This window comes from Homo sapiens, chromosome 9, assembly GCF_000001405.40.
Source record: "Homo sapiens chromosome 9, GRCh38.p14 Primary Assembly".
NCBI classification, from domain to species: domain Eukaryota; kingdom Metazoa; phylum Chordata; class Mammalia; order Primates; family Hominidae; genus Homo; species Homo sapiens.
The window spans coordinates 127855084-127880183 of NC_000009.12; the positions used below are offsets into that span (position 1 = coordinate 127855084).

Below are 25100 nucleotides of genomic sequence, written 5' to 3' on the forward strand. Positions count from 1 at the left end.
AGAAGATGGTAGCGCTGGGATCCTGCCCACCTCCACCACTTCACGTCTTGTCGGGCATCAAACCCGGCCTACTAAGTGCAGTTGACATGGGGCTGCCTAACAGGCAGGAAAACTGAAGCTCAGGCTAGGGAGGGAAGTCCCAAAGTGGCACAGCAAGGCGGCTAGGGCTGGCGTCTCTGGGCTCAGAGGAGCTGCCCAGGGCCACACACTTCACGTCTGACCCCTTCATGGGTGGAAAATCCTTCACCGACAAAACACAGCTCCAGGCCGAGTGTAGTGGCTCAAGCCTATAATCCCAGCACTTTGAGAGGCCGAGGCAGACGGATCACTTGAGGTCAGGAGTTCGAGACCAGCCTGACCAACATGGTGAAAACCCATCTCTACTAAAAATACAAAAGTTAGCTGGGCATGATGACGTGCGCCTGTAGTCCCAGCTACTTGGGAGGCTGAGGCTAGAGAATCACTTGAACCTAGGAGGCGGAGGTTGCAGTGAGCTGAGATCAGACCACTGCACTCCTGGCCTAGGTGACAGAGTGAGGCTCGGTCTCAAAAAAAAGAAAAGAAAAAAAAAAAGAAGACAGCTCCAAATTATGGGGACTTTAATGGCACTTCTGAAGTCACGTGGCCCTGGGTTCAAATCCGATTCTGCTTGCTCCTAGCCATGAGACCTTGGACAAGGCCCCTCAATTCTCAGCACCCCCTGTTTGCAAAGTGGGGCACGATGCCTTCCTGACCAAGCCATTATGAGATTTCTGAGGGTCAGGACACTACAGCACTGAGCCCTGGGACATACAGGAGATGCTTCCCCATCAGTGCTCCCTGAGCTGGGTGACAGTCCCCAAACTGTCCCATGTTCATTCTGCAAACAGTAAGCGCACCTACTATGTACCCACCGTGGGACTACTCACAGGTAGCACCCAGGGCCAGGCCCATGAAAGCTCAGAGAAGGAATCCTGGGCCACCTGGAGGGCCTGGTATTTAGGCCTGCCCTTTGAAAGACTGGGTGAGTTGGGATTGGGGAGAAGAAGGGGTGAGGAAAGCATGCCAGGCAGGGGTGCCAGACTAAGCAAAGGCACAGAAGCAGGAAACAGTCGGACCACCGTGAGACCAGCAGGGGTGTGGTGGGGACAGGAAGCTGGAGAGGCAGAGTCTGGCCCTGCATTGGGAGGGCCTCAAATGCCAGGACTTTGTCCTTAGGGCCACTGGGAGTCATGGAGAGTTCTTGAGCAGAAGGACGCTGGCAGAGCTAGGCTTTGAGAGGCCAAATCTTTGTGTGTGCTGGCAGGACCCACGGTGAGATGGAGCCAGAAGGTTCTTCTCCCTGGATCCACCTGCCCTGGGTCACAGGTGGAGAAATTGAGGCCCAGGGAGGGAGGAGAAGGCTGAGGCCCTGGGTGCCTCTGGAGGGAGGATGTCTGTCCAGGGTCTGAGGCCTTGCCTCTCCGTGCTTATTGGCCGGCCCGGGTGACAAGAGTAGGCCGTGTGTTTGTCTCTGCAGGAGCTGTCACAGCGGCTGGGAGGGTCGGTGTGGCTCTTTGGGTGGGGATTAGGGATAGTTTTGCTTGCCCAGCCTTGTGGCTGCCTGGCCAGTTTGCAGCCAAGCGTGGCTTTGAGGTCAAGGGAGAGTGTCCTCTCCCAGAGGGCCACCCTGAGAAGGGCATCTCCTCTGCCTTTTCCTGTAACCTCGGAGACAAGGCCATGGGCACTGCGAGGCAAAGGGTGGCTCGGTGGGGGTTCAGGGGTGGCTCTGAGGTTTCCACAGGCCCCAGACCGAGATCTGTGCCCCAGGGACAGTTAATCCAGCCCTAGGAGCTGAGCGCTCTCTCTGCACCAGGGCCCGCCCTAGGCGTTCACCTTATCAGCTCTGAATCCTCACAGCCACCCCAGGAGGTGGGTACCGTTATACCTCCACTTTACAGAGGAGGAACCCCAGCTGGAGGGTGGTGACCCCAGGGCTGCCTGGGTCCAAGCTCACCTCCTTCCCTGCCACCATCCCCTGAGCTGAGTTTGGAGTGAGGGACAGATGTGGCAGGGGCTGCAGGTATCACAGGGTGTTGGGGGCATCTGGGGCAGTGACAGGGACCCCACAGGAGGCTCTTCCCAAAACTCCCTCCCTCCCCTTCCCTCCACGCTGCACAGTCTGTCCCCATCCACGTTGTAAACAAGACCCAATGGATTCTCTAGAAAGTAGGAGAGACTCCAGATGGACTCCAGGAAGAACTGGGGCCCCGACCCCAGACACCTCATGGAGGAAGGAAGAGATTGGGACCACCGCGGGTGGGGGGTGAAGCGGAAGTCACCTCTGGCTCCCACAGCATCCTGACCTTCCCTGTCACACCTAAGCCTGTGTGCAGCCATCTGCATGTATCTCTCTACTTGATTAGAAGCCCCATGAAGGCAGAGACTTTGACACCCTTTGCACTGCTGTGTCCCCAGCACAGAGCCCAGGGCCTTTCAGCTCTTGAGATGGATTTGCTGAAAGCATGAGGGACCCTAGAAGTCAAGGCAGGGGTGGGGGTCATGGAGGCCCAGAGAAGTGGGCCTTGTCATTGGTTCCCAGGAGAAAAGGCCAGTCCTGGACTGGGTCTCCTGCCCGAGGAAGCCTGGTGGCCACATGGCCTCCCTGCTGGGCACAGGCCTTGGGGTAGCTGTCTTCTACATCCCCCAGCTGCACTCTCCCTCTTGTGGGACACATCCACTTCCCCACCCCTGCAGAGGTCAGAGGAGGCAGGAGGAGGAGGGTCCGTCTTCCAGCCCCTTCCCTGCAGGGTCACTGCATACTGGTGGCCTCCCTCCACTGAAGGCCACGGTCCTGTTGGGGACCCCCTCCACCCAGCTCTGTCCAGCTGTGGACTCAGCTCCTCCCCTGGCCTCTTCAGGCTGAGGGTGGTCACAGCCCACGCCGCTGCCAGCCCTGGGGTTCTGCACCGTCCCTTGGGGCTTCCCTACACCCCGACCACACCTGTGTAAACAGACCCTTCACCAAACTCTCCTCTAATGATCCTACTGGAACGTGCCATCTGTTTCCTGCCGGGGCTTTGACTGATACGGATGTGTTCAGGTGCCGTCTGTCCACACGCCCGAGAGACGCGTGGCTGATGGCCAGGCCCCTGTGCCTGGACCCCACAGAGGGCAGATGCACACTTTCTGCTCTTTCTTCCTCCTGGCTGGCCAGGAAGGCCAGGGCTGCAGGAAAAGACAGAGCACGTCCACCCTGGCCACTGGCCACTGAAGGAATTTCAGGCGGCCCCCAGGGACCCACCAGGCGGCTGACTGTCTCCAGCACTGGCCTGGAGCCAGGGGCCATTGATAACAGCAGGGCCAGACCCACAGGGCGGAGCAGGGTGCCCAGGCTCTGCCCTACACTGGCCAGGTGGCATCAGGCAGGATCTTTGTTTGTTTGAGACAGAGTCTCACTCTGTCACCCAGGCTGGAGTGCAGTGGCATGATCTTGGCTCACTGCAACTTCCGCTTCCTGGGTTCAAGCAATTCTCCTGCCTCAGCCTCCCGAGTAGCTGGGAACATGCACCATCACACCCGGCTAATTTTTGTACTTTTAGTAGAGACGGGATTTCACCATGTTGCCCAGGCTGGTCTTGAACTCCTGACCTCAAGTGATCCACCCGCCTTACCCTCCCAAAGTGCTGGGATTACAGGCGTGAGCCACCGCACCCAGCCAGATCTTTCCACTTTCTGAGCCTCAGTTTCTTCATCTGCACAAGGGGAGGGCAGCCTGCTGGTCTGGAGGAGTTCAAAGGGCAAGACAAGAATTGGAATTGCACCACCATCCATGAGGTTGCCTGGCCCTGTGCCAAGTGCCACTTTGCAGCCACTTCAGTGGCTGAGGCTGTCATGTCAGCATTTTACGATGGAAGAAACTGAGGCTCAGGTTTGCAAGGCCACAGGGCTGGGAAGAGGCAGAGGATAATTGAAATCCAGGCCTTTTTCCCTTGGCTTCCAGAACATTCTGTCCTGGCTTTCCTCCCACCTCCCTGGTCACCTTATCTGTCTCCTCCCTGGTTCCTCCTTGTTCCCCCAGGCTTGGTTGCTGGCCCCTTCCTTCTTTGTTTACCCTCACTCCCAAGCCAGGTTTTCGCAAACCTTTGCGACCCTGGTGTCACGTCCCAACACAGACCCTGGGACTCAGACTCAAATAATGGAAACGCATTTTGTGGTCCTGTAGATAGATTTGCGGCTGTGATGCCCTCCAGTAACCCCCAACCTGTTGCATTTTCTTTCACTACTCGTCACAAGCTCATCTGTTGGTTTTGTTACCCACCAACGAGTCTCGGCCATAAAATGTCATGCCCTAGACTGTTGCTACTCAAAGTGTGGTCTTGTTTCTTCTGGAAGCTTCTTATAAATGCAGATTTGAGCCAGGCTTAGTGGTAAAAGCCTGCAGTCCCGGCTACTCAGGAGGCTGAGGCAGGAGGATTGCTTGAGCCCAGGAGTTCAAGGCTGCAGTAAGCTGTGATCACGTCACTGTGTTCCAGCCTGGGTGACAGAGCAAGACCTTGTCTCTAAAAAATAAAAAATGAAGGACCGGGTGTGGTGGCTCACGCCTGTAATCCCAGCACTTTGGGAGGCCAAGGTGGGTGGATCACATGAGGTCAGGAGTTTGAGACCAGACTGGCCAACATGGCAAAACCCCGTCTCAACTAAAAGTACAAAAATTAGCCAGGTGTGGTGGTGGGTGCCTATAATCCCAGCTACTTGGGAAGCTGAGACAGGAGAATCTCTTGAACCCAGGAGGTGGAGGTTGCAGTGAGCTGAGATTGCACCACTGTACTCCATCCTGGGTGACACAGCGAGACTCTGTCTCAAATAAATAATAAAAATGAAAAATGAAAACATTTTAATAAAAAGAAATGCAAGGGCTGGGCACAGTGGCTCACGCCTGTAATCCAGCACTTTGGGAGGCCGAGGCAGGTGGATCACCTGAGGTCAGGAGTTCGAGACCAGCCTGGGCAACATGGTGAAACCCTGTCTCTACTGAAAATACAAAAATTAGGTGTGGGGTCGCGCGCCTGTAATCCCAGCTACTCATGAGGCTGAGGCAGGAGAATTGCTTGAACCCGGGAGGCGGAGGTTGATCTCAGCAAGCTGAGGTCACACCACTGTATTCCAGCCTGGGCAACAGAGGAAAACTCCGTTTCAAAAAAAAAAAAAAACAAAAAGAAATCAAACTCTTAGGTCCTGTCCCAGACCTGCTGGATCCGAACCTGCGTTTTCACAAGATCCCCAAGGGAATCGTGTGCACGTCAACGTTTGAGAAGGCCTGTTCCAGGCAACCTTGTCCAGACAACAGCTTTAAATACCATCTAGATATCAAGGGCTCCCGACTGTATGTCTCCAGCCAGAACTCCCCCTGGCTCCAGGGCCCTGGATGTCGTATCTCAGACTCCACACGTTGAAAACTGGGCTCTGTTCTTTCTCTGCAAACTGCTCCTGCCTCAGTCTTTCCATCTCAGACCTTGACCTCCTCCTACTACACAAGCCTTGGGGTTGACCTTGGGTCTTTCTCTCATGCCTTCATCCAAGCCACAGCAAATCTGGCAGGCCCTCCCTCAGATTCCCAGGGACTGTGGAATATGGCTGCTTCTCACCACCCACAGCCACCTCCCTCTTGGAATGTCACAGTCCCCAGTCCCTGCACTGAGCCCACCTTGCTTCCAACTTGCCCCCAGCCTTTTCTCCGCTATCACGGGAGCTTCAGTCCAATTCCGTCCTGGCTCTGCTCAGCACCCTCCACTGGCCATCGTCTCCCTCAGAGTCAAAGCCAAAGCCCCTCAGGCCAATGAGTTTCTCCCTGCCCCCTCTTCAGCCTCCCCTTCTGCTCACCTCCACCCTACTCCACCCCAGCTCCTTGCTCTTTCTCAAATGTGCCAAGCACACGCCCACCCCAGGGCCTTTGCACCTGCTGTTACTGCTCGCTGAAACATTCTTCCCCTAGGTCGCCACAGGGCTCGCTCCCTCATCCCTGATCAAATGTCACACGGCCAGCGAGGTCTTCCTTGAGCAGCGCATTTAAAACAGCCCTCTCCTCCCACTAGCAATGGGCCCACATGGCACCATCTGACACTAGATATTGTTTTTTTGTTTGTTTGTGTTTGTTTGGAGACGGAGTCTTGCTCTGTTGTCCAGGCTGGAGTGCAGTGGCATGATCTCGGCTCACTGCAACCTCTGCCTCCCAGAGGATTCTCCTGCCTCAGCCTCCTGAGTAGCTGGGATTACAGGTGCTCGCCGCCACACCTTGCTAATTTTTGTATTTTTAGTAGAGACGGGGTTCCGCCATGTTGGACAGGCTGGTCTCGAACTCTTGAGCTCAGGTGATGCACCATCCTCGGCCTCCCAAAGTGCTGGGATTACAGGCGTGAGCCACAGTACCCGGCTGACACACTAGATATTGTTGATTGATTTGTCTTCCTTTCCAGAACAGAAGTTCTATGAGGACCGGGGTTCTGCCTTGTTTGCTGCTGAATCCCCATCACTAGGAGTAGTGCCTGGCCTGGCAGGTGCTGAAGAAGCTTGTGAATCAATGAGTGGGTTTGGCCACTGGGTTATACGGCTCAAGGTCTCACGGGCGATGATTTGAGTCCCCAGGGTATGGGTGTTGGGGGCATTCTGAGCGCAGGGACAGGGTCTCTGAAGAGGGGGAATGACTCCCCAAGAGTAGGGTTTGGTCACGTCCCGCCAGACCCTACTCTGTTCTAGAAGAGCAGAGTCCCTTAAAGTCACCCTCTCTTTCCCCAAGGAAGGGGCCCTGGGAGCTGGAGCCTCCAAATCCTGGGTGAAATTGGCCTTCCTGATGAAACACACCCCCTAGAGCTAAAGAACCCATAAACCCCCCTAGGAGACAGAGGATTCCACTGGGCCAGGATTCTAGAACCTCTGAGTGGTAAGGGCTCTGAGCTCATAGAAAGAGAAACTGAGGCCCAAGAGGGAAAGGGACTCACCCAGCACTCCCAGTGTTGGGTTTACAGGCGTGAGCCACTGAGCCTGGCTTATTATTATTTCAGTGTATATTCCCACCATGGCAACCCATGCAGGAGCCCACGCACTAGAACCCCTGGGCACAGGGAGAAGGTCTCACCCCCTGCCCCTGCTGCTGTGCGACCTGGGGCCAACCACACAGCCTCTCTGGGCCCAACCACACAGCCTCTCTGGGCCCACTTCCCTAGTGAGGGAGCCCTGTGCGCACAGGCTGCACGTGTCCAACAGGGCTCCTGGCCCCCACTCCTCTAAAGCCCCCCCTCGCGGAGTCGCCAGGCCTTCCTGTTTACTCGAGGCCCCTAGAGCGGCTGGGAGGCGACAGCCTTGGCCTCCTCTGCTCCCCACTTCCTTCCTCTCCCACTTCAGCGCCTCCGGCCCAGGCCCTCAGGGCCCTCGAGGCCAAGACCTGGAGGCACAGTCTTTGCGGGGGGTGGGGGGAGAGCAGGGGTCATCTGAGGCCACTACCAAGTGAGTCCTGCCCGGGAGCACCCAGGTTATAGAGGCTCTAATCCCACTGGCTGGTCAGAATGTTCCAGCACCTTGGGACAAGCCACTGCCTGGAGTGTCCCTAGAGATAAGAAGCGTGTGACAGCATTGACGTTATCCAACCCAACACCACGCCCAACTCTCAGTCCACCAGTGGGGGTGAGCACTCACTGACCCTGGAGGGGTCCCCTCCTCCTCCACACTCCTCCCTGAGCTCCTGCCTCCACCGGACCCCCTCTGGCCCTCCCTCCGCCAAGCAGGATCTCCCTAAGCTGCTCACGGTGTCAGCCGTAGACCGGCAGCCTGGGCGTCACCACCTAACCTGGACCTGCTGAATGAGAATCAGCTTTTTCACAAGGCCCCCACCCCGGGATATTCGTGCGTGCACCAAAGCTGGAAGTGCTGCAGATCTAACCTTCCTGTCTGGTTTTAAAACCCGTCACGAGTGTGGCCCAAAGGCTTAACCTGAATCTACGAAGACTTTACAATTAACTTCCAGTTTACAGAAATGTTGAAGGATAAAGGTGCAAGTTAAACAACACCATAAGGAGGGACAGGTGAATGTAGGAGGAGGAATTCTCCACAGAACAGCTGGTTCCTTCACAGAAAGAGGGGGAGAGTGGTCCTAGATTAAAAGAGATCTTGGCTGAGCTCAATGACTCATGCCTGTAATCCCAGCACTTCGGGAGGCCGAGGCAGGCAGATCACCTGACGCCAGGAGTTCGAGAGCAGCCTGGGCAACATGATGAAACCCCGTCTGTACTGAAAATACGAAAATTAGGCATGGTGGTGCGCGTCTGTAGTCCCAGCTACTTGGGATGCTGAGGCACAAGAATCACTTGAGCCTGGTAGGTGGAAGTTGCAGTGAGCTGAAATTGCACCACCGCACTCCAGCCTGGGTGACAGAGCGAGACTGTCGCAACAAAAATATAAATAAATAAATAAATAAGATCTGATGAGCATCACAACCAAATGCGATGTGCAGTCCTGGATTGCATGCAAGTTTCAACAAATGAGCTATAAGACACATTTTGCAGACACTGGGGAAAATTGCACACGGGCTATTAGCTATTATGAGAGTGTGTGTGAGAGTGGCAAGAGTCTGAATTTAGTGTTATTGAAACTCTGAATTGTGGTTATTTAGGAAAATGTTCTTATTTTTGGTCATACTTTATTTATTTTATTTTTATTTATTTTTTGAGACAGGGTCTCACTCTGTTGCCCAGGCTGGATTGCAGTGGAGTGCCCAGACTTTGGTCATACTTTAGGGGTAAATTTTTCTCATATTTGTAATTTACTTAAAATACTTCGGCAAGGCTAGGCATGGTGGCTCACGCCTGTAATCCCAGCACTTTGGGAGGCTGAGGCAGGTGAGGTCAGGAGTTTGAGACCAGCCTGGCCAACATGGTGAATCCCCGTCTCTACTAAAAATACAAAAATTAGCTGGGTGTGGTGGTGCGTGCCTATAATGCCAACTACTTGGGAGGCTGAGGCACGAGAGTCGCTTGAACCCAGGAGGCAGAGGTTGCAGTAAGCCGAGATCACGCCACTGCACTCCAGCCTGGGCAACAGAGTGAGACTTGGTCTCAAATAAATAAATAAATAAAAATACAATACTTTGGCAAAAGTTAAACAAGGAAGCAAGTATGGGAAAATGTTAACAATTGCTAAATGTTGATGGGTATACGGGTGTTCAGTATACATTTTCTTCCAATTTTTGTTAAAAAAAAAACAAACAAAAAACAAAAACTGGCTAGATGTGGTGGCTCACACCTGTAATCCCAGCACTTTGGAAGGCAGAGGCGGGAGGGCCACTTGAGGCCAGGTGTTCAATACCAGCATGGGCAATATACTGAGACCCCTGTCTACAATAAAAAATAAAAATTAACCCAGGCGTGGTGGTTCATACCTGTAATTTCAGCACTTTGAGACGCTGAGGTGGGCAGATCACTTGAGCTCAAGAGTCTGAGAAACCCCATTTCAAAATAAAATAAATTTTAAAAATTAGCTGGGTGTGGTGGTGCACACCTGTAGTCCCAGCTACTTGGGAGGCTGAGGCAAGAGGATCACTTGAGCCCAGGAGTTTGAGGCTGCAGTAAGCTATGATTGTGCCACTGTATTCTAGCCTGGACAACAGAGTAAGACCCTGTCTCTAAACAAACAAACAAACAAACAAACAAAAAACACACAAAAATACACCTCTTGGTCAGGTGCAGTGGCTCATGCCTGTAATCCCAGCACTTTGGGAGGCTGAGGCAAGCAGATCACTTGAGGTCAGGAGTTCGAGATCAGCCTGGCCAACATGGTGAAACCCTGCTTAGCTGGGCATGGTGGTTCACACTTATAATCCCAGCTACTTGGGAGGCTGAGGTGGGAGGATTGTTCGAACCCAGGAGGCAGAAGTTGCAGTGAGCCGAGATTGCACCACTGCACTACAGCCTGGGTGACAGAGTAAGACTCTGTTGCAAAAAAACCAACCAACCAAAAAACACCTCTTTCTTAGCCTCTCATTGCCCTTATGAGAAACCCTGTGAGTCTGGTTCGTACACTGCTAGCCTTGTCTCTTGCTACCGCCACCCCGCTAGCCTGCGTTACAGCCCCCCTCTGCGGTCTCAGCTCTCCCAACACCCACAGGTCCTTTCCACCTCTGTGGCTCTGCAGAGCTGTTCCCTCTGTCCTTTCTTGCCCTCTGTCTTGTGGCGAACTCCCAGGTGTCTTCAGGGCCCTGCCCCAGAACTCTGGTCAAGGAACCTCCCACCACTAGGTCTCCTCTGAGCTTGGTGCACTCAGCTGCCCAGAACTGGTCTTGGTTGAGTGGGTCTGACGGGATGTTGCGAACAGAGGCCTCTCCTCGTGCTGGGAGCCATATCGCAGCAGGCCAGGGGCCTCTAAGCCTCTGTCTCGCTGGCACGGCGGGTGCTCCAGCAATGTCTACAGAACAAGCAAACATGCATGAAAGAAATTCCCAAAGGAAGGTTTACGGTGGCAAGGACGGGGTGGTGGTTCCCAGGGCTTTAAAACTTTTTGCGTTTCCAAGTTTTCAGCAAAGAGGATATCTGCATCTAGACAGATGAGAGAGGGAGAGAGATGATAGGTAGGTATTGTTTACGTGGATAAAGTGATTCTGTGGTGAATCGTTTGACAATTTGAATCAGCTTAGGTTTCACAAACTGGGACTCACCCGGATGAATGAAGCTGTGATCAAAATAAAGATAAGGTAGATGAGAAAGAACTAGGACCCCCCCACCAAACCGCCTCCTTATCTTTATTACTTTGTCTTCATCCTGAGACAGAATGGATGTGTGAGACAGTGAGTGTGTGTGCGTGTAAGAGTGAATGTGAGTGGTTTGTGTGCACGTGTGTGGTGTGTGCACTGCATGACTGTGAGTGTGCAGATGTGTGTGAATGTGAGTGGTTTGTGTGTACAAGTGTGTGAATGTGTGCATGTGTAAATGTGTGTGAATGAGTGTGTGTGCAAGTGTGTTTGTGTGAGTGGGAGTGCAAGTGTCTGGGTCAGTGTGAGTGCGTGTGGGTGACTGTGTAAATGTGTGTATGGATGAGTGGTTTGTGTGCACATGCGTGTGTGTAAAAGTGTGTGTGCATGCGTGTGTGGGAGTGCAAGTGTGTGGATCAGTGTGTATGTGTGAGTGCATGTGTGCGCGCGCTGGCGTGTGTGAGTGTGTGTGTGTGAATCTGGTTTGACAGATGCAGGACCCAGGACCTGGAGCCTGCGGTGTCCCTGCGTGCCCCATCAGTTTTCTGCCGATGCGGAAAACCGAGGACCAGCTGCAGAGGCCTCCACACAGCCCCTACCCTCCACAACTTCCCTGGGACAGAATGGCTCCCCCTACATGCCTTGTCTTCTGCTAGCTCCGCTGAACTCCTGTTTATTTCTTTCATGTTCTTCTTTCAATAGATTCACCTTTTATAACTTAAAATCGTTTATTTTAAAGGAAACTTTAAATAACCAATGGAAATGAAAAACCAGCCCCACTTGCCATGAACAGCCCCAACTGTTCGGATTTCATTCGGGCAGGCGGGGTCCACAAGAGGCTCTCTTGGCTTAAAGGGAGCCCAGCTTGGGCCAGATCAGGTGTTAAGGACACGTGAGCACCAAATTGAGCCTTTCTCAGTGATGAGGTCAAAAAATGAAAGCGCGCAGGAAGGGTTCTCCCCAGGGGATTCTGGGGTGTCCCCAAGTCATCCGGGGCCCCGCACGCTTCGGGCCATGCTGTTCTGGTCTCCAGCCCTCATGGCCGTGGCAATGGACAGCGTCCACTCCTCACTCAGTGTGTTCTCATCCTGACCTTGAGGTGGGGGTGAGGGGGACATTGAGTCTGTTTTAGAATTGGAAACGGCTCACAGAGGGTGGGCTGTGTCCAGGGCCACACAGGGGGAGGTCCTTCAGGTCTCACCCCTGACCATGACTCCCCCAATTCAATTTCTTTTTTTTTTTTTTTTTTTTTGAGACGGAGTCTTGCTCTGTCACCCAGGCTGGAGTGCAGTGGCGCAATCTTGGCTCATTGCAAGCTCCACCTCCCGGGTTCACGCCATTCTCCTGCCTCAGCCTCATGAGTAGCTGGGAATACAGGCACATGCCACCATGCCCGGCTAATTTTTGTATTTTTAGTAAATAAGGGGTTTTGCCATGTTGGCCAGGCTGCTCTCGAACTCCTGACCTCAGGGGATCCTCCTGCCTCAGCTTCCCAAAGTGCTGGGATTACAGGCATGAGCCACCTCATTGGGCCTCCCCCATTCAATTTCAGTGACATGACTGACTCCCCACCCACCCATGCCATTGAGATGCCCTTTTCAGACCCTCAGAGCCTCTCGCGTCAAGGAAGCCAATTCACTACCCACTGGGCCAGCTGGCGTGGGCCGCCCCAACTGCCCAGGAAGCCCCACTCAGACCATGACCTTGCTGCCTGTGCAGTCCAGGCCCCGGCAAGGGCCAGGCATGGAACATATGCTCAGAGCGATGGGGGTCAGGGCCAAGGCCACAGAGCAAGATGCAGAGGAGCCCAGGCTGGGACCGGTTCTGCCTGAACATGAGCCCCTCGGAGCAGGGGCCCCGCCACTCAGCGCCGGGTCCTCAGGCCAGGCATGCCCTGTGCGAGGAAGGGCCCCGGGCCTCCCACCAGAGCTAGAGGAGGGGTGGCTGGCAAAGGGAGGCTGAGGAGGAACGGAGGGTTGAGGGGCTGGGGACTTGCGGCCAGGTAGGCACAAGCACATGAATCAACTCCAACTGGAAGCAGAGAAAAAGCAGTAAAACCAAATGTCCTTAGAAATTCCTTTAGTGCTCAGCTGTCCATGAAAACAGGATAAGCGGCTTCCTCCGTCTGTGCTCAGCAGGGCAGGGTGGAGGCGCTGCGCTCAGGCCAGGAGGACCTCGAATCAGGACGGGGTGGGGCGGGGCTCTGAGCTGGGGAAGCGGCTCCAGCGTTGCTACTTTAGGGCGTCCAGGTGGGTGCAGACCTGGGAGAAGACACTGTCCACGGAGCCCTCAGCGTTGACCTGTGGGGAGATGGGCCGTGAGGGCTGAGTCACCAGGTGGAGTGGGGTGGGCCTCACCATGGCAGGCCCCAGAGACCAGGCCTGCCTCCCCGAGCCCAACCTAATTGACAGCAGCCCCTCATTGAACCAGTGGGGAAACCAAGGCCCAGAGAGAGGGGCTGGCCTGAGGCCACACAGTGAGCTGAGGCGGAGCCACATAGGAACCCGTTCTTCCCGGAGCTGCCCCTGGGCCCGCGGGGCCCACCTTGCGCACAATGCCACGTTTCTCATAGAAGGCGATGACAGGTTCTGTGGCCTTGTAATAGGTCTCCAGCCGCTTTTTGATGGTCTCCTCATTGTCGTCCACACGCCCGCTGGTCTCTCCACGTTTCAAGAGCCGCTGGGTCATGGTCTCAGGGCCTGCGTCCACATACAGCAGCAGTGTGGGCTGTCCAATCTGCAGGCGGGCACCATGTCACAGGGACCCCATTCCTGCCCCCTAGGGCCATCTCCTCCCCATCTTCCCATCTATGAAGCCCCAGTAGATACCCCCTCAGACCTTCAATCCCTTCCCCAAGGCAGCCTGAAAGACCTTCCTAAAACCAATCTTTCCTGCCACTCCCCTGCTCAAACCTACACCATGGCTCCCCAGTGCCCTCAGGAGAAAGTCCACACTACTTGCCAGACTGAGAGAGCCTGACTCTCTCTGCTCTAGGCTCTCATCAACCTCCTTCCATGCCAGACCTGTGCTCATGCTGTTCCCTCTGCTAGGAGCCCTCTCCCCCGAGCCTGATCCTAACTCGCCTTCACCTCAATACCAAGCATCAGGTTTCAGTGCGAAGCTCACTTCCTCAGGGCAGTCTCTCTGATGCCACCCCCCGCCCCCCAGTACTCCCCGCCTCCTGGAACAGGCTCTTCCAGCGCCTTTATCTTTCCTTAAGCAGGTCTCCCAAGGGCCCCTGAGGGCAGGGAGGCACTTGTCTCACAATTCTGGGGTCCTTTGACAAAGGAACAAGGGATGAGGGAAGGGGTGAGGGGCTGCTGAGTCCTGGGGGGTTCTGAGCAATGTCCGTGTCATTGGAACAGCATGTCATCCATGTCATCCATGGGACGCCTTGGAAAGGCAAGAGGAATAAGGTTCTGCAGCCCCTGCCTCGCTCAATCCAGCTACCACAGCTGCCTGGTTGGGAGGGCAGAGCCACCCCAGAGTCACCCATGACTGCCACAGCTTTAGGAATGGGATTGGGACCTTCAAACCCTGTCTCCTGCTTCCAACTGCCTGGGCCAGCCCCCAAGGGTTTCTGCGCAGCTTTGGCCCTGGACCCCTGTCAAGGCCTTGGGGCACTGCCTCTCAGGTCAGGCTGTTTCGTGCCTCTGTCCAGCTGTGTAACCAAGAGGCTTGTCCAAGGCCACACAGCTGGACAGAGGCGAGAAGCAGCCTGACCTCCGGCGTCAGACTGACCTGGACCCAGGCTCACCCCTGCCTCTGTTCAGCTGTGTGACCTGGGGCAAGCCCTTTGTCCTCGCCTGCGATACCCATCCTAGCGCTCATCCCTAGCTCCTCCGTAGTTAAGGATTCAGGGTGACAGCGTCAGCTGCCTTCAGGGAGATGACTCCGTACCACCCAGCGGCTGCTTCTACCTTACAGATTACCATGGGGGCAAAGGCTGGGCCTGGATGCAGCAGTCTGACCTCAACTTCAAGGTCACCCACCCCCCATCATCATCCATCAGCTGCTGAGCTCCTCCAGGGCACAGACTCACAGTCTCTGGTTCATCTGGGTCTCCAGGACCAAGCACAGTAGGCTCTTTACACACACCCAGCAGAGGTGGTAAATCTGGGAGAGCCAGCTCAGCCTCTGGGCTTGAGATTCTGGCTGTGGGGCCTCAGTCTCCCTGTCAGGACAATGGACATCTAGCCCGGGGAGTCCACAACGGGCACTGCCAGTCTCCAGAAAAGCTTTGGGTGTGAGCCGGCCACACTTCCAGGCTGACCCTCCCTCCTTCGGTGAAGCCCTGGCGCCCCCTGGTGTCCAGAGCCAAGAAGACCAGCTGCCCGGACACCTGGAGGCCACAGCAGGGATGGGACCAGGGCTGAGCCTGCGGCCCTCAGCGGCACCTACAACAGCCCTGGAAGGGTGGGGACTTTTTTTTTTTTTTTTTTTGAGACGGAGTCTCATTCTGTTGTTCAGGCTTGAGTGCAATGGCGTGATCTTGGCTCACTGCAACCTCCGTCCAGCCAGGTTCAAATGATTCTCGTGTCTCAGCCTCCTGAGTAGCTGGGATTACAGGCGCCCGCCACCATGCCTGGCTAATTTTTGTATTTTTAGTACATGAGTTTTCACCATGTTGGCCAGGCTGGTTTTGACCCTGACCTCAAGTGATCTGCCCTCTTTGGCCTCCCAAAGTGCTAGGATCTCAGGCGTGAGCCACTGCACCCGGCCGACTTTCATTAACTCTATTTTCTAGATGTGGCCCTGAGGGTCACAGGTGGTACCACACAGCTGGTATGTGTGAGCCAGGCCAGGACATCTTTCAGAACTGTGGCACCTAACACAGGGTCAGGGGTCTGAGGTCTGAAGGAATCCAGCTAACCCCCATTTCAGATAGGGAAGGTGAGGGGCAGAGTGGGGTAGACACTTTCCTGAGGTCTTGCAGCCACTCATGCAGCCACTCAGAGGTCAGAAAATATGGCCTCCTATCCCCAGATGAGGCTGGAAGCTACGGAAGCCCAGAAGGCCCTACGGAGACGGGGCATGGGAATGGGGCATGGGAATGGGGCATGGGGATGGGAGTCTTATCCTGCCCCAGCCCACCAGGATGCTGGTTAGGCTCCCCCTAGCCCTTGCCGACCTCTCCCTCCTAGGCCCTTGCAGTCCCGTTTATTTCTCCCATACAGCCTTGTGACACCGAGGTAAAAGTGTATGTGTGTGCACAGGGCCATGTGTGCGAGCACGTGTGCATTCCTGCATATGTGTGCTGCGTCCGTGACATGCATGTGCAGGAGTGCAGTATCCACTGCCGTGTGTGTGCATGTGTGCACATGCCCCTGGCCTTGTGTGTATGAACTTGTGGGGCTTGTGCATGTGTATGTGCAAGCGTCCACGTGTGTGCGTGTGTGGGGTGCCCCATCCTGGGGAAGGTGTATCTGCAGGATGCTCGTGCTAGGAAGCTCAGGGCCATCATTTTCCAGGCCTGCTCTTTCCAGCCAGGCTCCTCATGACCCCTGGAAGGAGACTGATGTCCCTTTATGGCATTTGCAGCCTCCAGCCAGGCTGGAACCTCCCTTGTTGTCCTGCCCACATATTCTGTTCTCCCCACACTGGCCTTGCCTTTCCAGCCCTGCCAGTGCTGTTCCCTGCCCCTCTGTGTGTTTATAGGGAGCCAAGGCCCACACTGGAAGGGCACATCCTCTCCAGTCCCCACACTGTCCCTTAAGGCAGCTGTGACCTGGTCCTCCCACTCCCTGCATTTTGCAGATGGGAAAACTGAGGTTCAGGAGGCAGAATGACTGGCCCAAGATCTCAAGCCGTTGAGCTGGAATCTGAGCCCAGGTTTGGCAACTGCCCCTCCTGGCGCTTCCCCTTCTACACATTTTCTTCTACACTTCCAGAAAGTCTTCCTGGTTTTCCTCCTCACCCACACTCCATGAATCAGCCTCTGCTCAGAACTCTGACCTGCATCACAGCCCCCGCAGGCCCGCCCATGGGGATGGGAGTCTTATCCTGCCCCAGCCCACCAGGATCCCCACTTGGGTCAGTGCCTTACCCGTCGCTCAAACTCTTCTCCTTGCTGCACCTCCCGCGGGTAGCCATCAATCAGGAAGCCTTTGGAAGTATTGACTTTGGCCACCATGGCATCCCGGAGCATGTCCAACACTGTCTCCTGGGGCACAGCAAAGGAGGAAGGGGCCATGAGCCTCTCCTCCCCATCCCTTCTCCCAGCCTCTGCTCACGCTGCTCCTGCCACCTGAAATGCCCTCTCCCCAACACAAATGTCCCAAACAAGCCTCCCCCTCCAGGAAGCTTCCTCGGAATTGTGGAGACCTGGACTGAGTGAATGAATGAATGAATGATGCATTCACTCAACAGTATTCACTGAGACCCTCCTTCCAGCCAGGTGCTGTCCTGGGTCCCGAGGACACGGCCATGGACCAATTAGGCCTTCCCTGCCCTGGGGAGCTCAGGGGCTGGTGAGGGGACAGACACATTCCACAGATGATTTCTCCATTTCTAAGCATGGCACAGGTTGTACGGGCAGAGAAGTGGGGCTTCTGGAGTAGAAAATTGGGGGGGGAGGTCTTAGGCCAAATCTGGGGAGTTAGGGAAGTCTGAAAGCTGAAGAGGAAAGAATATTCCAGGCTGGAAGGAGTATGGCTAGTCTGAGGGGACAGAGGCCAGGGTGGCTGAAGGATGGAGGGAAGGGAGAGAGTTGGGGGCAGGGCAGAGTCCTGCAAGGTCTTGGGAGCTTCTGGAAGGAACTTTCTGTCCAGGGCAATGGGGAACCACAGAAGGGTTTGGAGCCGGGGGCGGTTACGGTCAGCTTTGCCTGTGTGCCGTGGGCTTTGCTGCTGGTGGGACACCCACTCAGGGCTACTGTCATCCCCTGCCTCTCACCCCACCAGGGCCCACTCACCAGTGGAACCAGCTGCCCCTTCTCCATGATTTCCGACAGCTTCTTGCCCCTGGCCGAGCCTGAGCTGACCTCGGACCGCAGGAGGTCCCCGGTGGAGAGGTGGGTGTAGCCATACTTCTGCACGATCTTCTCACACTGGGTGCCCTTCCCTGAGCCAGGCCCACCTGCAAACGCCCACCCATTCATAAACCCCGAGACACAGGGTCCCAGGAGGAACAGGGGCTGCCAGGGTCTCCCAGAGAGGGAGGGGCAGAGCCCAGGGTGCAGCCCCAGGCCCGGGCTCCCTCCAGTGCCAGTGAAGACCCTTGCTGCACCACCCGCCTGCCCGCAACTCACCCACCACAAAGATGATCTTGGTTTTCTTCAGCTTCTCTGCGGGAGAGAAAAGGGGAGCAGGGCTCAGTCACTCGCTGGACCCACAGCCAGAGGCACCTCTGGAGTCCCAGGCCTGTGCTGGGCCCCAGGCGGAGGGACAGACACCGCTGGCGCTCCTGTCAGGGAGGCAGACAAGTCACAGCCCAGAGTCAGCAGGGATGTGAGTGAGCTCGGAGCCTGGGAGAGGTCAGGGAAGAGAGGGTGCTCCAGGCAGCCAGACGGGCAGAGGCAAAAGCCTAAAGGCTAAGTACTCTCCACACAGCCAGCGGGCTGGGCCGCCAGCCCTCATGGCGCCTCCCTGTGGGTGCCTGGACCCCGGGGCCGGTCACCTCTGGCTCTCAGATCGTCTTCTCTGCGGGGGTCACTCGAGGAGCAGCAGCCCATGGTCCCGTCCTGCCGTGTCTCCTGTGCACCCTGCCCTTCCCCTCTCAGGCCCTGGGCCGGCCCATCACCCGCCTCCCCCGGCAGTGGGGGCTTAGCAACCACAACATATGTTGCCATGGAGACAGTTGCCGGGGTGGAGGGCTGTGGTGGGCATGTGGAACTCTTGCCCAGAGAGGGCGGTGAGCTTGGCTCCAACCTCTGTCTCGTCCCGCCTGCTGTTAGATCCCAGCAAGGCCACAGCCCCACTGGGCAGAGGGAAACTGAGCTCGAGAGAGGGAAGGCCTGCTCAAGGGATGTCAGAACCAAAACCAGAACCCAAGCTCCCCACTGGGCTTTCAGGCTCCCCCGCTTCCCAGGGAAATAGAGGACCAGGCTGTATCCCACCTTGCTGTGTGACTTAGGAAAGGCCTGCCCCTCTCTGGTTCTCTGCCCCTTCCCCAGGGAGGAGGTGGGCTGGGCGGCTCCCAGGGGCCCTCCCAGCCATAAGGCTGGAGCCCTACAGGAGCTGTCAAGAAGGGCTCCTCCTGTGGGCCCCTATCCCGGGGGTGCAGTGGCCGCAGCCCTATGGCTGTTGATATTTGGAGCTCAGGCAGAGCAGCAGCAGCAGCAGCAGCAGGCCCGCTGGGTGTCTTTAAGAGCTGCCCAGGCCAAGGCACAGTGCCAGGAACTGGACGGATGGTGCTGCCAGCAGCTGAGGGCGGGCCCGTTCTGGACTCTCTGCCTGCCCGTGTCTCCCTCTAAGTCCCAGCCCATAGGAACTAGGAGGGTCCAAGACTTCCTCAAGGCCCACCCTCACTGGATGATAGGGAAACTGAGTCCCGGAGAGGTACGGGGAATTGCCTTGTCCTCATTAGACCTGGTGTTTTGTGTATCTGTGGCCTCTCCATGGGGCAGGGTCTCAGCTCTATAAACCCAGCATAGGGGGTGTGCGCTGGGGCCCTCAGGAGCCTTGGGGAGGCCTCGTCACGTCTAAAATTAATCTTGGAGCTGGCACATCCCGTGAGAGGCCAGAGGAGGATACTGGAGGCTCCCAGCCAGGCCCCCTCCGGCAGCCCCAGAGCCTCCTCCAACCCCTCCCAGAATGTCTCCCTGAGAGCGCACCCCCTTAATAGTCAGGCACACTGAGGCCCAGGCAATGGGCAAAAGGAGAGGAGGCTCATACCTTCCATCCTGCCGAGGTCCCGGGAGCCGTGTCAGTGCTCTGTAAGACAAGGGCACAGGTTGGGGAGGGATTTTCCTCCTCACCCTGACTCACCTTCCACTAAGCCACACCCAAGGCAACTGGTGTGTGCCAGGCCCGACATGCAGTCTGAGGGCAGAGGGGGCTGCTGGGGGCAGGGAAGGCCCAGGACCCCTTCCCTGAGAAAGCCACCTTGGGAAAGTGACCTTGGAAAAGTCACCTTTCCTCTCTGGCCTCCATGGCCTCACCTGTCACAGAAGGGCAGTAGCCCCCTCCCATCCACCTGGGTTCCCGCTGGAGGGGCTGGGACAGTGAGGATGGCACCGAGGGACATAAACAGCGGCCACACAACTGCAGAGCTGCTCCCCTCGAAACTCCCAGAAAACAGGGCGCAGGGCCAGCGTCTGCCCAGACACCTTGACAACGCTCCCCAGGGCCAGAGGGAAGCTGCCAGGAGGTGGGAGGTGGCCAGGAACTATGTGTGTCTGGGATGAGGTTTGGATGGGGATCCTCTAAGGGACAGAGGCCTGGGGTGAAGGAATCTACAGGAGCCGCTCGCATGAACACAGCCCTTTACAGTTGTCAAAGTGAGGCGGTCCCAGGCTCTTCACCTCTACAGGCCCAACAACCAGCCCCACGCATGTCCCCTGCACCCCCACCCTTTGAGGACCTGGCTTTACTGCCCCCACCTTGCCCTCAGCCTGCCCATGAGCCCAATCACACCTGCGACCCCACCCTGTGCTGCCACAGCCCCCAGGACCTCCCCTACCTCGCCCCCCTATCTCAGAACTGCCCTCTGGACACCTTTGGCCTCCACTTCTTCACTCCCAGCCACCAGCCCTCCCCAAGGCCACTCGCAACCACCACAGCCACACTCCCCTCCAGCCTTGACCTCCAGCCAGCGACCCCACCCGCACCGGGACCTCCACCCAAGGCACCCACACCACCCTCTCTACTTGGCTTCAGGCTCCAAGGACCCCCATCCCTGTGCAGGCAGCCCAGGCCTTTCTCTCCAGCCCCAGACATCCATGCCCCCGAGACAGGCCCCAGAAGCCCCACAGGCTTCTCAGGCTCTGAACAGCCCTCCCCAAGTCCCAGCTCCAGGCCCCTATGGCCAAGCCACAGGCTGAGTCAGTGTGAAGGCTCCTCTCTCCTCTCCACAGCCCTGCACACCCACTGCCCAACCCTCCCCTCCCCAGGCTCTCTCCGTCTGTCTCCTCACCACTATGTCCTGTGCTAAGTAAGGGGCCTGGGCCACTGCCCCCGCCTCCACATGGGCCTTGAAGCCTCCACACCCTGCCACGCAATTTGCAGGATTTTCTCTGGCAAGTATCAGACCACATCACACACCCGCTTACAACCTTGCATGTGTGGCCCTCTCGGCTCCCAGACAAAGCCTGGGCCCCTTGACATAGTGGATAGGTCCCGGTGAGCTGACCTCTGCTGCCCTCTGCAACCCTATCAGCTGCCACTGGCAGATGTTGTACCCAATGCCTGGATGCCTTTCCCCACCTTGCTATTGTGTGGGACTCAGCTCAGGTGCCACCTCCTTCAGGAAGCCTTCCTGGACTCTGCCCTCCACTCCCACACTGGCAGGTGCCTCCTGGAAACCTGCCCTGCACTGCACAACCACGCTGTACTGGGCCCCTCTTCTGTGCTGCGGGCCTGGGATCCCATTGACTGGGCCTGGCATGGGCTGAGCACAGGGCTGGGGAGCCTCGTTCCATCCTCACTGCCATCTTGGGAGGAAACTGAGGCATGGGGAGGAGGACAGACTGGTTCGAGGGCCAGCTAGGGTCCAACTCGGCCCTGAGTTTCTGCTACGCTGGGCCTGGCACCCAGTAGCAGCTGAAGTGGCTTTGCTGATGCCCCTGCTGCCCCAGGCAGGAGTGGCAGCCACTTTTCCTGCTGAGTGTGCTTCAGCGGGGGTAGGAGCTGCCAAGTGCCCCTCAGCAGCTGCCCATGGGAGGGGGAGCGTCCTGGGCCAGGGACAACCACAGTGAAGCCCTGAGAAGTGGCCTCGACCCCGCCCTGCCCCGCCCCCCTCCTGGTAATCTAAGCCCCCTCCGCCCTGATGGCACCTGCCACTTCCTTGATCCAAAATAACTTGGGTCGTGAGGAGGCCTCACAGAGGACAGGGGTCTAGGATGGAGTTGGGTTACGGGCTAAGCACCCAGGCCTTATAAGGCCCCTGGGTCAAGGCCCCAGCGACTCCTAATATGACTGGATGGTCTGCTAAGGGGCCTGTGGGGCCGAAGCCCAGAGGGACGGTGACTTAACCCCAATCACAAGACAAGGCCAAGGCAAGCCCAGGTCTCCCAGCTTCTGACCCAACGTAGTCGGTTCCCAGTGGGTGGCAACTGACTAGGGTTCGAATCCCAGCTCCATCACTCAGCTGTGTGACCTTGGGCAGTTGGTGTCCCCTCTCTGGGCCTGTCCTGCTGCTGCTGAGGAGTACCAGGCGGCCACTGAGCAGTGCTGTGGGAAGGCCCCAAGCGCTGGCCCTGGTCAGGAGGCTAGGGCAAGCTCTGAGCATCCAGGGGGTGTTCTCCAATGCACCCAGCACTAGAAGTGGAGTGACACGATAGCCCTACGGAGCACAGAGGCTGCCCCTGTCCAGGTCCTCTGGGGCAGGGAGCCAGGCCACAGCTCTCCCTCTCTGGGCCCAAGCTGGGACATGCCAAGGGCAGTGACCTGGAGCCCCGGGAGTGCCAGCCAGAACAAAGGGGTGACTATCTCGGAGGCTGGAAGGGGCTGCAACACACACAAACACACACGCACACACACGCACGGATCCACAAAGGCACAGGCAGCGAGGCACAGATCCCCAGCGCCCGGGGAACACAGCCACGCAAACACACACGGATCACAACCACGGATACACAGCCGCACAGCCCCCAGGGAGCCCCGCACCAGCACGCCCCCGCCCTCCCCCGGTGCCGCTGCCCCTCCCCGCAGAGGCGCCCCCCCAGACACGCGCGGGCACGCACTGACCTGGGGAGGGGTGCGGGTGGGCGCCGGGGCCAGTGCGTGCCCTGCCCGTCCTCGCGGCGGCCGGCAAAGGCGACTATTTATAAGGCTGTCAGCGCGCGGCATGCCGGGAGCCGGCGTTCCCGAAGGCAGGGAGGGCGGGAAGGAGGGAGGGAGAGCGGACCAGGGACCGGGAAGCGGGGCGGGACCGAGCCCGAGCCCGGGTGCGCGGCGACACCGCACCCGGCACCGTGTGCCCCGCACCGTGGACCCCCAGGTGGCTGTGCCCACACACGCGAACTACACTTTACAGTTTGCCAAGAGTTTTCCATTGCGATACCCCGACTGTGCTCAAGGTACACTCCAGGGTACAAGGCCAGGCTTTCCCTATGATAGCTGGAGAAACTGAGGCTCAGAGAAGAGCGGCTCTTTCCGCAAAATCCCACAGCGCATTGGTGCCAGAGAGAGGCCAGACCAGGGAGCGAGAGGGCTGAGGCATCGACTCAGGGGCTTTGCTGGCCACAGTCCCCAAGCCCGCCCTCAGAGCCTGCCCAGAGGCCCTGGCCGAGACCCACCTGGGACTCCTCTTCCCCTGTTGGGAGGGACCCTTCGAGCTCCTCTGGGACTGGAACCCGCCAGGACCCCAAAGACCACCCAGTAAGGTAGAAGATTATAGAAAACCAGCCCTGCTCCCCTGGAGTTGCCCGGGACATTCAGAAGGCTGTGGATAGCCAGAGAGGGGATTTGCGGTCTTGATAAGAAGAATAGCTCCCATAATGAGCACTCACTGTGCTAAGCAGCAGACTCCAGCCGCATCTGTGAATCCTTAGACACAGCAGAGAACGGGAGGCGAGCATGTCAAATACCTTGCGGGAGGTTCCCTGGTAGAAAGCCACGTGTTTATCCAGCGTTTTGCAGGGAGACTGGCACATAGTAGTAGGTGCTCAGTGATGTAGCCGGGCAGGGATGGGAGCCCAGGCAGCAGCCCCAGATGGTGAGGTGGGTTGAACTTGGAATTTGTATTATAGGCCCTAGGGAGCCATAGGAGGTATTTGAGCAAGAGAGTGAGACTACCAGGAGATTGAGACCACCTTCAGTGGTGGTGCCTCAGCAACCACAGCAGCCAGGAGACCAGGAGGCCTGGGTCTCTGCTACCTGTGATGTCAGATAAGTCCTTACTTCTTGGGACCTTAGTTTCCCCATCTGTGGGGGGGCAGGTGCAGTGGGGTCAGAGGTGTTGCATTAGAAGCTGTTTGAAAGGCCCTCTCAAGGGTGTGTGCATTGGCACCTTTGGGGAAAGCAATTGACAAAGTAAATCAAAATTTCAAATGGACCGGGCATAATGGTCACTCCTGTTAACCCCACCACTTCAGGAGGACGAGGTGGGAGGATCACTTGAGCTCACTTGAGCCCAGGAATTCTAACACCAGCCTGGGAAACATAACGAGATCCCGTCTCTAAAAATAAAACACACACACACACACACACACACACACACACACAGTCTTCAAATGCGCCCTTCTACTTTAAGAAATTTGTTTCAAGGAAACATGTGGGCACAAATTTGCATAGGAAAGTTTTAAAGTGCCAGCAGGGACTCACTGGGATGATGGCACAGCCACGGTGGGTGAGGAGTTAGCAACTTTCCCATAGGGTCTGAGTGAGAAAGGAAGTCCAAGTTGTTTGTGGTTAATGGGACAAGAGGCTTCAGACACCCATAGCATTGGTAAGAAATAGGCAAAAAGGCTGGGCGCGGTGGCTCACACCTGTAATCCCAGCATTTTGGGAGCCTGAGGCGGGTAGATCACCTGAGGTCAGGAGTTCGAGACCAGCCTGGTCAACATGGTGAAACCCCGTCTCTACTAAAAATAAAAATTAGCTGGACATGGTGGTGCGCCCCTGTAATCCCACCTACTTGGGAGGCTGAGGCAGAAGAATAGCTTGAACCCAGGAGGCAGAGGTTGCGGTGAGCCGAGATCACGCCATTGCACTCCAGACTGGGCAACAAGGCAAGAAGAGCGAAACTCTGTCTCAAAAAAAAAAAAAAAAAAAAAAAAAAAGAAATAGGCAAAAAGCCCCACTGCACTCTTCTGATCCCACCTGCATAAAAATGACTGGAGGCTGGGAGCAGTGGCTCACGCCTGTAATCCCAGTACTTTGGGAGGCCGATACAGGAGGATCAGTTGAGGCCAGGAGTTCAAGACCAGCCTGGGCAACATAGTGAGACACTGTCTGTATTTTCTTTTCTTTTTTTTTTTTTTGAGATGGAGTCTCACTCTGTCGCCCAGACTGGAGTGCAATGGTGTGATCTCGGGTCACTGCAACCTCCGCCTCCTGGGTTCAAGCGATTCTCCTGCCTCAGCCTCCTGAGTAGCTAGGATTACAGCCATGCACCACCACACCCGGCTAACTTTTTGTATCTTTAGTAGAGACGGGGTTTCACCATGTTGGCCAGGCTGGTCTCAAACTCCTGACCTCGTGATCCACCCGCCTCGGCCTCCCAAAGTGCTGGGATTACAGGTGTGAGCCACCATGCCCGGCCCCTATTTTTTTTTAAATAAAAGTAGTAAATTTAAAAAAGACTC

General features: G+C 56.6%; 1 protein-coding gene, 1 long non-coding RNA gene and 1 other non-coding gene across 12 annotated transcripts in view, besides 11 other annotated features; all 3 read right to left on the reverse strand.

Annotated features, from left to right (window-relative positions):
* Window positions 1184-1684: an enhancer, noted in NCBI's record as "H3K4me1 hESC enhancer chr9:130618546-130619046 (GRCh37/hg19 assembly coordinates)". NCBI's record gives its function as "activates a minimal SCP1, AML or CMV promoter by ChIP-STARR-seq in naive H9 embryonic stem cells {active_cell/tissue: H9 hESC(naive)}" and the evidence as "EXISTENCE:reporter gene assay evidence [ECO:0000049][PMID:30033119]".
* Window positions 1685-2185: an enhancer, noted in NCBI's record as "H3K4me1 hESC enhancer chr9:130619047-130619547 (GRCh37/hg19 assembly coordinates)". NCBI's record gives its function as "activates a minimal SCP1, AML or CMV promoter by ChIP-STARR-seq in naive H9 embryonic stem cells {active_cell/tissue: H9 hESC(naive)}" and the evidence as "EXISTENCE:reporter gene assay evidence [ECO:0000049][PMID:30033119]".
* Window positions 6979-8021: a transcriptional cis regulatory region, noted in NCBI's record as "candidate enhancer chr9.2869 targeted for multiplex CRISPR interference". NCBI's record gives its function as "positively regulates AK1 gene expression with high confidence in K562 cells {active_cell/tissue: K562}" and the evidence as "EXISTENCE:mutant phenotype evidence [ECO:0000015][PMID:30612741]".
* Window positions 7339-7548: an enhancer, noted in NCBI's record as "active region_29054". NCBI's record gives its function as "activates an Ori minimal core promoter by ATAC-STARR-seq in GM12878 lymphoblastoid cells {active_cell/tissue: GM12878}" and the evidence as "EXISTENCE:reporter gene assay evidence [ECO:0000049][PMID:35858748]".
* Window positions 9887-10181: a silencer, noted in NCBI's record as "tiled region #4407; HepG2 Repressive non-DNase unmatched - State 7:EnhWF". NCBI's record gives its function as "represses a minimal TATA promoter and a strong SV40 promoter by Sharpr-MPRA in HepG2 cells {active_cell/tissue: HepG2}" and the evidence as "EXISTENCE:reporter gene assay evidence [ECO:0000049][PMID:27701403]".
* Window positions 9887-10204: a biological region, named in NCBI's record as "Sharpr-MPRA regulatory region 4407".
* Window positions 10035-10204: an enhancer, noted in NCBI's record as "active region_29055". NCBI's record gives its function as "activates an Ori minimal core promoter by ATAC-STARR-seq in GM12878 lymphoblastoid cells {active_cell/tissue: GM12878}" and the evidence as "EXISTENCE:reporter gene assay evidence [ECO:0000049][PMID:35858748]".
* Window positions 11397-24538, reverse strand: AK1 (adenylate kinase 1). Of its 3 annotated transcripts, none has more exon segments than NM_001318121.1 (7): window positions 11397-12993; window positions 13238-13429; window positions 16740-16856; window positions 17607-17770; window positions 17943-17978; window positions 19528-19566; window positions 24431-24538. In NM_001318121.1, coding segments are annotated over 6 exon segments (585 nt in total). In that variant the 5' UTR covers window positions 19535-19566; window positions 24431-24538; the 3' UTR covers window positions 11397-12924.
* Window positions 11403-25100, reverse strand: part of ST6GALNAC4-ST6GALNAC6-AK1 (ST6GALNAC4-ST6GALNAC6-AK1 readthrough) — a 50556-nt gene continuing 36858 nt past the window's right edge. For 7 of the 8 annotated variants that reach the window (NR_174625.1, NR_174627.1, NR_174631.1 and 4 more), the window contains 6 exons: window positions 19528-19566; window positions 17943-17978; window positions 17607-17770; window positions 16740-16856; window positions 13238-13429; window positions 11403-12993 (listed from right to left, as the gene is read on the reverse strand). This is a non-coding gene — a long non-coding RNA (ST6GALNAC4-ST6GALNAC6-AK1 readthrough). The remainder of the gene's footprint in view (window positions 12994-13237; window positions 13430-16739; window positions 16857-17606; window positions 17771-17942; window positions 17979-19527; window positions 19567-25100) is intronic. The other variant, NR_174626.1, reaches the window with a different exon arrangement.
* Window positions 11724-11783: an enhancer, noted in NCBI's record as "active region_29056". NCBI's record gives its function as "activates an Ori minimal core promoter by ATAC-STARR-seq in GM12878 lymphoblastoid cells {active_cell/tissue: GM12878}" and the evidence as "EXISTENCE:reporter gene assay evidence [ECO:0000049][PMID:35858748]".
* Window positions 12390-12890: an enhancer, noted in NCBI's record as "H3K4me1 hESC enhancer chr9:130629752-130630252 (GRCh37/hg19 assembly coordinates)". NCBI's record gives its function as "activates a minimal SCP1, AML or CMV promoter by ChIP-STARR-seq in naive and primed H9 embryonic stem cells {active_cell/tissue: H9 hESC(naive and primed)}" and the evidence as "EXISTENCE:reporter gene assay evidence [ECO:0000049][PMID:30033119]".
* Window positions 12390-12921: a biological region, named in NCBI's record as "Sharpr-MPRA regulatory region 6524".
* Window positions 12627-12921: a silencer, noted in NCBI's record as "tiled region #6524; K562 Repressive non-DNase unmatched - State 7:EnhWF". NCBI's record gives its function as "represses a minimal TATA promoter and a strong SV40 promoter by Sharpr-MPRA in K562 cells {active_cell/tissue: K562}" and the evidence as "EXISTENCE:reporter gene assay evidence [ECO:0000049][PMID:27701403]".
* On the reverse strand, window positions 14332-14412 carry MIR4672 (microRNA 4672). Its single transcript, NR_039819.1, has one exon. It is a non-coding gene; the product is annotated as a microRNA 4672 (primary transcript).